We start from the raw sequence: 13052 nt of genomic DNA, 5'->3' as shown, positions 1-13052 counted from the left end.
GAGGGACGTAAAATAAGGCAGGGTAGGAAAGAATTTATTGTCATGGGAGTACTCTGCTTCAAATTAGGATTGAATATCTTGGCAAGAATACTTAGAAGTAATATGCTGTAAACATTCCTATTAGTTTTAATATTAAGATTCGAACTCAAGCTTGCCCAACCTGCCGCCCGCGGGCCGCATGTGGCCCAGGATGGCTTTGAATGCATCCCAACACAAATTCATAAACTTTATTAAAACAGTATGAGATTATTTTGCGTTTTTTTTTAGATCATCAGCTACTGTTAGTGTTCGTGTATTTTATGTGTGGCCCAGACAATTCTTCCAATGTGGCTCAGGGAAGCCAAAAGATGGGCCACCCCTGTCTAACTTGTTCACAAGAATCAGTGAAATATTAGACCAGATCTGTGCTCTTTGAGGGTATGGGACATCCTCTATCCAACACCCTGAGGTCATAGTCTGTCATTGCACCACAGGGTTCACATTGAACTGAGTGAAAGAAAGGATGATAATTTAAGAAGAATGAATGTGCCGGTTATCATCTGTGCACTGGCCGGACTATCCAAACTCAGTCCCCAAATCTGAGGATCATTACGGGATGCACCTTTTGGATATGTGCAAGGGTTTGAAGTCTCTACCAAACCAACTGAAGTGATAGTTAGCAGGAGGATGTACTTTTATTAAGGCATTATTAATTCAGGATGACATATTTATTTGTCAGAGTTGAATACTTCTGTGATGAAGGGCAATGCTTTCCTATGATCTTTCAATCTTTGTATCATCAAAATTACAATGCCAGTTAATATACTATACTCAGAATATTTTAAATAACTTTATTCTTAAATTTAACAAGCTCTTATTAGAAATGCTTTGGTATCAATAGAATAAAAAATGCTGGTTTTCCCCCACTGAATCGTGTCAAGTAACTGGAAAAGTTACACATTTGTTTTCCCCAGCTTTTTGGGAATTTTTCACAAATAATGACTACTACTTATTCACATGGCTTAATATGGTACACTGTAATGATAATTTTTTGGACTTCAGAAAAAATAAACAAAATATCCAGAAGAGAAATTTGCAAATGCTTCTTAGTTTCTTCTTCAAAGGATGTTTATATAGGTGGTACAACTCTTAGATCACCTTTTTTCCCAGCTTTGCCATTCTCATCCTTAAAGCTGCAAATTAAAGAAAAAAAAAGAGAGTTATAAAAAAAATCCTCAATTTTTACTCTAAATGGCCATTCATAGAATGCAGGAAAGTTTAGAACATACCTCAGATGGTTTTATCCAACAGTGTGAGCATTGATTTAGTAGCACAAAAAGATAGTAGAAATAATAAGCTATGGTTAACTTAGGGCAGAAGCAGGTTCAGAACTAGAAGGAACCTATTTCTATAAAGATTAGAAAAATTAGTAGAGCAAACAGTACAAGTGGAACAAATACAGGATTAATGCACAGTTTCCCTATTAGCCATACATACAGATTCCTATAGGTTGATGACTGTTTTACATACATTTCTGAGTTATGTACTGCCAAAATAAAATGGTGTTTACACTTAAACTCTATTTCATGATCGTGTTTGCTTTCAGCTCATTCAACTTCCTTTCCCAAAGGAGCTCTGGCCTTTGGATATACAATAACAAAAACAAATTTCTTTACGAATGAAACAACAGGAACAAGTTATTAAAAGCTGGAGTGATTATAAAATGTCTTTGTCAAGATATAAGTATGTTTTAAAATGGCAAATATATCTTTTTGGATATATTCCTCTGCTAATAATATATTGAATGTAGAAAGCATTTTTTAAAATGTAGATTTAGAATGTATAACACTTTTCTGGTATTCTGGATGAGTATTCTGGTATTCTATTCTTATTATTTAGGATTTCAGTGTAGAGCTGCCTTAGTCATGTTCCAAAAGTTGATAGATGCTTTCAAGGCACTGATCTAAAGATTATGTTAATGATCTAATATTACATTCACATGTAATATGGCCCAAGAACAAGCTATGTAACTGATTGCACAATTTTGTCTCATGGAAAGTAAAATGGAAGACATGTTTTCTCATTTGTATACCATATATTGGTTACCTTTTGACAATGGAAATGACCCCATACCTAAGAAACCTTTTTGCACAAATATGAGAAGGGATGGGATCTAATTCTGTAACAAGACCATGATTATTTTAATTGTCACTCCACTTATATGAAATATTTTAATTTCAATGAAGCTAAAGAGCATTATTTCCCTTGAAACTTTAACAGGGATGATCAGTTCTAGTGGCAGGGCCAAGAATATTCCCTAGAATTTAGGATGAACTGAGAGAATGTGCTCTGTAGCAAGCAGGTCTCGATTGCTGGCAGAGGCTGTAGTTACATAGCAGAAGGTGAACAGAAGGCAGAAGGCAGAAGGCAAGTCTTTATGAAGTTTATACTGTTGGATTTTATGGACCTCTATCTTGCCCCTACCAACAAAAGAGAGTAGGAGTGAGGGGCTTTTTGAGTCTCTTATAAGTCACGGGCAAATTGCTTTTTCTTACAGTCACTCCTCACTGTAAGATTCCGTAAATCAGGCACATCCTGTGTGCTGTGGACATTCAGAGAAGTTTGCTAGAGTCTGCTTTCCTTTCTTTCCTTTTTTCAAGCCTATGGCAAGTAGGTAGTGTGAGTTCCAGTAAATGCATGGGGCCAGAGCATGTTGGCAATAGAAGGCTTGGTTTAGCAGCTAAAAACCCTGGGCCATCAGCTCTCTTTTTTACTTCTATTTTCTGCTCCTGTCTGATCCCTGCCTCTTCTTCCCATAGCATTTTAGATGCATGGTTTCAGCTGGCTGAACTTGATAGAAGTCTCCTTACTCTCATTATCCCTTGGACTCTAATGGCTGTTGCAGGTTGGCAATCAGCACCAGTAGCATATGAACTCCCAGAGCTGAGATCCCCACCACTTCATCCTGGAATGCCACTGACACCTCTAAGAGGACAGAATAGAGCTGGAAGTACAAGAATAGGTTGGTGAGGACTACCAAAGAAAGCCAACTACTACCCCCTGATTGGTAGGGGTAGCAGTGAGTTCCCATGCAAAGCTGGCTGGGGCCATGCAATGGTGGAAGTGTCTGGCATTGAGCTTTATCCTATGAATATGTTATATTTACATTAAGCAGATGGACATAATGTTGCCTGAATTTTTCTGTCATGTCTTACTCTGTTCAAAATTTTGACTAAAAAAATCTTGTCTTTTGAATCTCCAGGGTCCACCTTTTTCCATTTCTTTCTTCTTCACGCTGTTTTCCAAATTAAAATTGCTCTTAGATAAGGTATTGATAACCATATTTATACCAAGGGAAAAGAGACTAACAATTCTTAACTATTATGCCTACCAGGGCTATTTATATTAAATAGGGGATTTATACCATAAATAAAGGAATTGACCTAAATGGTGAGTTTTCAAGTATCATAAGCGTTTTTTGGGGGAGTTATGGGGAGAAGCTCAACCCACTTGGTGTTTGTGAAATGGAAGTACGTAGGTGGTTATGTATTCTTTGTATATGGATGGCATGTGAGGGCATATGACACTGTGACTTACTTATTTTTAAAACCTACTTAAAAAATACACATCAGCTCTGTAGTCTGTATGCCGAATTGGAAAACAGCAATGTAAAACAATATCATGGTGGAAGGCAAGGAATTTGGAGCATTCTGTTTATAAGATACTTTGATTGATAATACAGAACTCTGTATTGTTACTTTGTCTGGAATAGGTTTTCCTGTTTTCATTATTTTAGTTCAGGGGCATGATTAGTGTTGTCTGGAAATGTTAGTCACTTCCTGTCATTTTCCATGGGGTAAATGTGTTGACAAGGTTAGAGGAGAAGAAATAAGGGTGTTCAGGAGGAGCTGGCTAATATCCAAGTTCAGAAAAGGGAGGTTTTATAGTGGATAATGTCACTGCTATTGACCGTAAACAGTGTGTTCCTCTCTTCTAAGTCTTCTGTGTTTTTTGTTTTTAAAATGAGTTTAAGATGGCAAAGTTTGATCAGTGACCAAAGCTCTCTCTTAAGATGGAAAGAAACTTAGTATCTGCAACTTTCCATTGTGAGACATATCACTCAACTCTGATTGAGGAAGTTGTATACGTGTATACTTTCCAAAAGCTTAGAAATTCTTCAGGTAATTAAATTTATCATTGGGATACCTACTTTAACTACTTAAAATAATGGGAGAAGGTTCATTTTACTGTATTATTAGCTACCTAATATTGGGCTTATGGGTTGTAGAGGAAGAAACATTATTGAATTGTGTAGGTAATTGTGCAGGTACTACCACACTGCCATAGAATTATCAAGTTTGACTTGTGAAGTTAGCCAGTACTTAATATTTATTGCTTTTTAATGAGAATCCTTCCATTAGAGACATTTAAAATTACTATCCCTAGCAAACATACAGAAATTGTATGTCAGGGTAATTTGATTTACATCTTTAGCCAAGGTAAGTACAGCTATTATAACTGATTTTGTTAGGTTCTTATTTATTCTTTATAAATGATAACTAGAATATAGTATTTAAGTGATAACAAGAAATCTAAAATTGAGAAGCTATCACTTTTGTAGAAAAAAAGTGTTAAAGTTATTTTCCACTCAATGCTAAAATAGCTGGTTAGCTATAAAGCTATAAAAATTTTGCAAAGAATGAGAAATGCAAATATATAGAAAATAGAAAAGATAAATATGCTAAGTTGGGGAACACTATGCAAAGTTAAAGGTTATAGAAAACATAAAATAAACTAACATTCTATTTTAAAATGTAGAAAAATTAGGAAAATAAAATTAATGAAACTATAGACATATAGAGAAACAAGATACAGCAAGGTAATAAAATACTCTGAAAATAAAATTTGTTTCTTGTACTTTCTTGCAGAATTAAGGCAATTTGTTAACTTATATAAGAAGTTTAAATCACAGTGAGGCACAAATAAAGTAGTCATCAGATTCTAGTGGAAAAAGATATGTTATTGATGATCCAACATATTAGTGACCCAAATACACTCACAAGCAGCACCATACCATGATAGAAGATGAAATTCAAGTTATTAAAGTTCCTCAATACAATATCAAATAAGGCAATGATTTATTTTTACTTTCTTTATCTTTTGAAGTGACTTAATCACTTTACTGTGGTGATAATAATCTCTATCAGCATTAATAAAAAAATCTCAGTGCGTATTAGTTTATGAGGTGGTCAGAGAAGCCTGAAAGCAAGACTGCATTAGCACAAGAGAAGCTGGTCACATGACTGAACAGCAGTGGCATGCCTTGTCATTTTTATTACCTGTTAAGGATGGATCCTCAGTCCCATCTCCAGTTGTCTGAGCATCAAATGGGGAATGGTGGACAGGGCTGCCTAAGCTTTCTTCTTGCTCTTTCAGAGATATGGAATTTTTGTGGGGGGATTTATGATTTGTGTTTTCATGAGGACTAGCTTCTGATCTTTTTCTAGGAAGTGGTGTTGGTTTGGCTGGCTGGTACACCTGACTATGGGGAGCTATGGGGTGGTAGGACGGTTTCTCTGCTTCTCCTTCATCCTCCTCCTCCTCATCATCAATCACAACCAGCTCAGCATGGATGATCCCATCATATCCTGTCAGAAACTTCTTATCTTCTTCACTGTCTTCTGCCTGCTGATACCCCATGAAAATCATTGTCACCGGTTCTGTATCATTTATGTCTGGAGGCAGGGAATGAACGATATTATATCTGACATCTTCCTCGTCCTCCTGACAAGTGGGTGAAGAATTCTGGTGTTCAGATTTCCCAAATATTGTCTCTCTGGGGCTCAGCCTTGGCTTTGGAGAGGGTGCATCTTTGTCCTGCATGACATTCGATTCTTCCCAAGGAGTCATTAGCCTTTTTTGCGGGGTGTGAAGCTTCTCTTCTGCTTGTTGAATCACTGATCGGGGATGAGGCACTGGCGGAATGGGACTGATGTGATTGAAGTTGTTTCCCCTTTCCTCTGAAAGACCATTGCCCATATTGTGTATGGATTCATTTACACCAATACCCAGTCCATTAGTTTTAATCTTTATCCTTTCTTGAAAGTTTGGTCCAGGGGTCACCGTTTCTCTCTGTGGGGTTGTAGGCCTGTAAAAGGGATTGGCATATACAGGCTCATGATACTCTGTTGGGGATTTAGAGTTTCTCTCTGAGGCTTGTCTTAGAAGTTCCTCTACTTCAACTGGTGCCAGGCCATCGGTGCCATTGTATGCTGCACTGTGATTAGAACTTACTGCATACACTGACTTTTGCCCATCATCATAAACTTTTATTCCTGTACCTTTAAAGTCATCTGATGGCAGAGGTATTGAAGACAGAACTGTACTTTCTCCAGTCTTCAAGTCTTTTTCAACTTTAATTTCCATGGCATATAAAGCTGTTAAGAAACAAATTTGATCTTTGATTTAGTTAACTTTTCTTTTGTAAACTAACCTGCTTTCACTGTGTTTATTTTTATATTAAGTAGACCCTTCATGTTCTTGTATGTGAGATGTTGTCTATTTTTTAAATTTCTGATTTTACTCATTAATGATATCATGACCAACTGGAATAACACGGGTTTTTATGTAATGGTGTAGGGAATTGTACTGAAAAATGGAAAGGGTTGAAGAAGAGAAGTTGATTAGAGAAGATAAGCTGATGGTTCCAAATAGGAAAGAATTTCAATGGGGAACCGAAAAAGATATCCTCTTTCCTATTAATAAATTCAGCAAGATGGATATACTTTCTTTTGCATTTCTCAATGGGCAGAATCAATCTCTTCTTTAGTCAAGAAGAATATGTTGGACTGTGCATCACAGTGGGCAAAGTGCCTAGTACAGTATATTTTATAAAGTTACATCCTTGTTGTACAGGCCAGCAGCCTGGTGAAATTATAGAGGTGTGTTCTAAAGTTTTCACAGTGGAGAGGCTGTTTAAATGTAGAACTGGGATGGAAACGGGAGGGAGAAGGCTACAATCACACACTTCTCTTTCTGCCTTATGTTTCTTTTCATTTTCACTCCCATTTTCAAGTAGAGGAAGGGCTAAAAAGTACAGCAATATCAGCTGCACTGAGACAAATGGACTGGAGAGAACTGGGGAAGCTGAGATTTGCTTCATGACCTAAGTAAGATCCCTATGGCTGGAATTTCAATAGGAAAGGTAAAGCGAATAGAATTCTGTGCAAAATTACAGCTTGCTTTTGTTGTGTCCTCCCACCTTTCTTTCTGAACCCATTTTGTATTTCTTACCTCCTCTATAGCCTGGTGGTTCTTGGCCTTCCTTGACTACCCAAGAAAAACTGCAACACCCCTCATCTGCACTCTCCCTGTCCAGCTTCTCTGCTTTATTCTCTGTATTGCACTCCCTACCATGATATATTTAGTGAATACCTACTATGTGCCTAACTGAACCTGGCACACAGTATCTATTCTCTAAATATTTGTTGAATGAATAAATGACTACCATCTGCAAATAAAGAGTAGCTTTTCCTTCCACTGTAAAATTCAAAGTTTTCCTCTCTGCTCTAATGCAAACCTTCATTTTTCTAGAAGCTTTGAAGCATCAGTTTTATGTAACTCAATTTCCCATGGAGGTAAATAAGGCCTAAGCTTCCCAAAGGAATATTTTCATTTTCAAAAAAGATCTTTGTAACCCCCAAAGAGGTTCTATTGGATGGAATATGTCAGGAGAAATATTTTTGACCAGGGAATCTATGCTTTTAAGAGCTTCTTGTCTCCTTTGGGTCTCTATCTTCCTTATCCCTGTCTGGTTTGTTAGGGAATAAAATGCATGGAATAAATGCTATTATTATACCCTCATTATCCTCACCTATGCGGTGACTCACATAACTCACAGAACTTTGTAAAGTGAACCATTGCTTAACCTGGAAGAATAATATGTCATAGCAAGTTGTGAATATTTGACACTGTAAAATCTGAAATTAAGAACATGCCCTTCAACACAGATTTCTCATATACCTTTCCTATTTTGTTCATCATCTTCTTTTTCTTCATTTATCTCCTTCCTTAACCTAGAAGGTATGTAGGACTTTGGAAGGTCAGGGATATTAGCATAGATGTCCTCAATTGACTCTGTAAAATTAATATGAATTCAAAATACATTTAGAATATATTTACAATGGGAACAATTTCAAATTACCAAAAAAACTTAGTTTAACATAAAATAAGTTATTCAAAAACATACCTTCTGCTCTTTCTTCTCTTTCCACTTTCACAGACTGTAAGAAAAAAGAATTCTCCATGATTAATACAGTTTAAAAAATAGAATCTAAATGTGGATATGCTTTGAAAAATTATATAGTATTTGTGGATTCATTTTGAGAGAGAATTACAGTTTTAAAATTGGTTAATGCTCACTCTTATAATGTCTTCTGTTGTCCGCTCAATTGACTTTAGTTTCTTTAAAATGGCCTCTTCCTTCGTTGAGATTTGCAGTTCAGCTTTTTCAAGATCTTGGATCTCTTTCTCAAGCCTGACAACAAAAAGGTATACTTTTTATTGCTTAACACAGTACAAATGCGGAGTTCTCAAATATGTCTTCCCCATATATAAAGTTTCCTTGGAATATGCATGTAAGTAGCCAGACACTTTCTAAGAATATAATGTCACACTTAGCATCACACTAAGCATGATACTTAATATATGGAAGATACCTAATGCCCGACTTTGAACGATTTTCAAGTTTTCTTTTTTTGACAAAGGAATATATTAGGTAAAGCATTTGACCTTTGCTCCATGTTCTTCATTGCAATTACTAATGTTATTTCCAAATAAAAGAGATTTTTAAAATACAGAGACATAAGTTTAAAGTTGTACCGAAAGGAATGGTACATTTGTAGTTATTATGTAGTTCATCAGGTTTTCATATCCAAGTCATCATATAAATTATTTGAAGAAAACATTATAATTATTAAACTGATTTAATAATCATAGTCATTTAGTACTTAAAATTCTTGCATATTCTACCATTGAAAATGACACTTTGATTTAATTTCAGTTTCCTAAGAGTTGGGCCATATTATAGTGAGGAGGGTGAAGAGATGCAGAAATGGACCAAATATAGTACAGTAGCTTCAACTGCTGCTGTTTATAGAGGCTACATTTTCTGGGCGGGGGGTAGGGCACACATGGCCTGACACAGCATAAGGAACTTACAGCAACAAAGAGACAGACATTTGAAACTAGACTGTTGCAAGCATTCTGAGCTGGTATCTTGGCCAGTGTACAGCTGCGTGTCAGATTCAAATGAACTCCAGGGGGCAGCATCGTGACCTCTCCTCTATAAAAACATAGAGACACTGGCAATCACGCAGAAGGCTGGCCCTTGGCAGCCACGTAACACACATGGTTTCTCAGCCAAATACACTAAGGCTCTAAAGTCAGCTGCCTCAGAGGATGGCTGATTAGATTCAGCAGCTGGTCCAGGAGGTGACAGCTGTGGATATTCGTGTCAGCTAAGAGAACTGTCAGTTTTCTTGGCTTCCTTCTTGAAGATGGTCATGGGCCTGGCAGCTCAAAAATGCTGCACTATTGTCACACCAGTAAAAGCCCAAGATGTGGTCAGCTTGACAGCTCTCTTGCTCATTGCTTCAGTTTCAAAGTTCTTACTTTGCTGCTGCCTCTGGCCATTGGTAGATTGCCGTTTATAACTGAGGAGGTTTTCTTGTATGCCACAGACCTCTAAGTGAAATGGAGTAGCCCCTGGTTTCTTAGAAGTGACTGAACTGTGACTGCCATTTTATTAAAATTCCTCCACATCCATGGCAGCACTTTTACCCTTCAGCAGAGCTGTGGGGATATATGTTGGTCCAATTTGGTAAAGGGGAAAGCTCTGCACTAAAAGTGATAAATCTGGATTCAATTCTGTCTCTGCTACTCATTTCTTGTGAAAGCCAGTTCCCCTAACCTCTCTGAAACTCTGTTTTGTAATGTGTGTAATGAGCATAATTACAGATTACGCTCATTACCATATACAGACAGATATGTGGTGACACTAAGAGATGATGTATATGAAAGTACATTGAATATGGTTGATATCAGATGTAAATATGTTATGATATAATTTTTAAAAGTTTTCTGCAACATACTGTATGTCTTTCTTTTTTCATCCCCTGTCCCACAGGGTGCTTACCTAATTTGCCTGTTAGAGACAGTCTACAAAGGAAAGCCTTTTGGTAGAAAACAAGAAGGTTCAAATCATTGCTTCAAGCAGCTCTTGCACATCAGGGCCTAGCTGTGGAATCAGGTGGACCTGGGTTTGAAACCTGGTTCATCTGCCAGCTTCCTGTGTGACCTTAGACAAGTCACCTGACCTCACTAAGACTCAGTGTTGGGCTGAGAGAAGTGGCTCATGCCTATAATCCAGCACTTTGGGAAGCTGAGGCAGGAAGATTGCTTGAGCCTAGGAGTTAGAGATGAGCCTGGACAACATAGTGAGACCTCAGTCTCTACAAATATTAAAAAAAATTAGCTGAGCATACACCTGTGGTCTCAGCTACATGGGAGGCTGAGGTGGGAGGATTGTTTGAGCCCGAGTGGTCGAGCTTGCAGTGAGCCATGATCATACCATTGCACTCCAGCCTGGGCAACAGAGTGAGATCTGGGCTAACAAACAAACAAACAAACAATAAAACTCATTGTCTTTATTCATTCATTCTTTTAAAAATATTTACTTAGCATCTACTTTGAACCAGGCACTCTTCTATGTGCTGGGGATCTTACAGTGACCAAAACAAAGTCCCTGAGCTCAAGGAGTTTATGTTCTAGTGGGAGACAATACAGGGGCTGGCAACCTTTTTCTATAAGGGGCCGGATGCCAAATATTTTAGGTTTTGCAGTCCACATATGCTTTCTGTTTCTTATTCATCTTTTTTCCCCTTTTTCTTTTACAGCCTTTTAATAATATAAAAACCATTTTTAGCTTGTGTCTGTACAAAATCAGGCCAGGGCTAGATTTGGTCCTGGGCCATAGTTTGTCAATCCCTGCATTAATAAATGTGTAATACAAATATGTATATATTGCAGATGTATGTACATACATATATATACACATAAACACATTTATTTATGAAGAAAAAATATTTTTGATGAGAAAAGCAGGATAGGGGCTGTAAACAGCAAGATAAAGAATATAGAGAAAGCCTGAGGAGGGGGCACTATTTCACACAGTGTGGTGAGGGAAGTTTCTCTGATAAAGTGTCATTTGAGCAGAGACATGAAGGAAGTGAGAGCGGGAAACATGAGGGTTTCAAAGGGAGTGTGCTCCAGAGAGATGGAAGAGTAACTATAGAGAGCGAAGGAAGAGCCAAGAGAGTAGAAAGGTGAAATGAAGTCAGAGAGGAGGCAGATGACCAGATAGGCAGGGCCTTGTGCATGGAAGGGCTTTGGGGAAGCCACTGGAATTTTGAACAGAGAGGAAACATGCTATGACTTGAAATGTAAACAGTTACACTGGCTGCTGTGTGGAAAATAGACTGGATGGGGCAAACATGGAGGTCAATTGTGCTAAAAATCTAGATGAAGATGGTGTAATCCAGGTTGGTTGCCAGTAGAAGGGTGAGAAGTGGTTGGATTCTAGAAATATTTGACAGAAAGAGCTGTCAGAATTTGTTGATGATTACATGCAGGGGATAAGAGAAAGGGAGATGTCAAGGTGATTCCACTGTTTGTGACCTGAATAATTGGAAACATGCAATACAATTGGCTGAAGAAATCTGGGAGAGAGAAGAAAGGGGATTTGTGGGGGATGTGTTAAATTTGAGACAATCAAGTGTGATATGGAGAAGACAGTTGGATATACAAGACTGGAGCTCAGAGAAGTCTGGGTTTGAAGATATACATTTGGGAGTTGGTATTTATCACCACAGGAGTGGATAAGTTTCCCTAGAAAGTGAAGGAGATAAGAATTCCAAGGCCTGAATCTGGAGCAATTCAACATTTAGAGATCTGGTCAATGTTAACAACTTCATAGGGTGTTCGTTTCTTTCTTTCTTTCTTTCTTTCTTTCTTTCTTTCTTTCTTTCTTTCTTTCTTTCTTTCTTTCTTTCTTTCTTTCTTTCTCTCTCTCTCTCTCTCTCTCTCTCTCTCTCTCTCTTTCTTTCTTTCTTTCTTTCTTTCTTTCTTTCTTTCCTTCTTTCTTTTTGGAGACAGAGTCTTGCTCTGTCACCCAGGCTGAAGTGTAGTGGTGCAATCTCGGCTCACTGTAACCTCTGCCTCCCAGGTTCGAGCGATTCTCCTGACTCAGCCTCCTGAGTAGCTGGGACTACAGGAGTGCACCACGACGCCTGGCTAATTTTTGTATTTTTAGTAGAGATGGGCTTTCACCATGTTGACCAGGCTGGTCTCAAACTCCTGACCTCAAGTGATCTGCTTGCCTCGGCCTCTCAAAGTGCTGGGATTACAGGCATGAGCCCGATGACTTCAGCTAGTTTCTTCCTGTCTCTGCCCCTTTCTTTTCCTGGGGCATAGAGACAAAGCTCCTGGTCTGCTTGGCCAATGACACCTTAGGGAATTTTGAAATGCACTGGTGTTTGTTGTTGTTTCTCTCTGAAGATAAAGCCGTGGGTAATGTAATGCCATATGATTCATCCCAAGAATCTCTTTAGACTAATATGGTAAGAATATGAGGTTGAAAGCCTGCAAACCTCATCAGCGTATCTGTTAATGAATATTTTTGAAGGTTTTCAAGTCACTGGATGAAAGTTGCATTAATAAGTCGCTGTGGTCTCACAATACATCATGACATGTTTGTGAAAACTAAACATAAACAAACACCTCCCTCCCATTCTTTATCCCTTAGTCACAGCCAACTCTGAGTTGAAAAGGATAACTAGGAAACATCTTGGTACTAATTACTTAGAATCACAAACCTCTAACAGGAGATGCCTACTGATGTAGAACATTTCCTAAAATTTCCACTTCAATGCAAAACTTGACTTCTTATTTTTGTATGTTGATTTGATACTTCAAATATTTATGGACAATATAAATATCAGATGAATGTTAGAGAT

At 37.8% G+C, this 13052-nt stretch overlaps 1 protein-coding gene across 1 annotated transcript in view; it reads right to left on the bottom strand.

The window, feature by feature from the left end:
- Nucleotides 1-655: 655 nt before the first annotated feature.
- Nucleotides 656-13052, bottom strand: part of PALMD (palmdelphin) — a 48423-nt gene continuing 36026 nt past the window's right edge. The window contains exons 4-8 of the mRNA NM_017734.5: nucleotides 8401-8515; nucleotides 8228-8261; nucleotides 8002-8115; nucleotides 5319-6416; nucleotides 656-1172 (exon numbers count right to left, since the gene is read on the bottom strand). Of these exons, the coding sequence (NP_060204.1) occupies nucleotides 1129-1172; nucleotides 5319-6416; nucleotides 8002-8115; nucleotides 8228-8261; nucleotides 8401-8515 (1405 nt within the window). The 3' untranslated portion in view covers nucleotides 656-1128. The remainder of the gene's footprint in view (nucleotides 1173-5318; nucleotides 6417-8001; nucleotides 8116-8227; nucleotides 8262-8400; nucleotides 8516-13052) is intronic.

Source organism: Homo sapiens, chromosome 1, assembly GCF_000001405.40.
Source record: "Homo sapiens chromosome 1, GRCh38.p14 Primary Assembly".
In the NCBI taxonomy this organism is placed as follows: Eukaryota; Metazoa; Chordata; class Mammalia; order Primates; family Hominidae; genus Homo; species Homo sapiens.
This window is presented reverse-complemented; position numbering and strand designations above follow the sequence as displayed.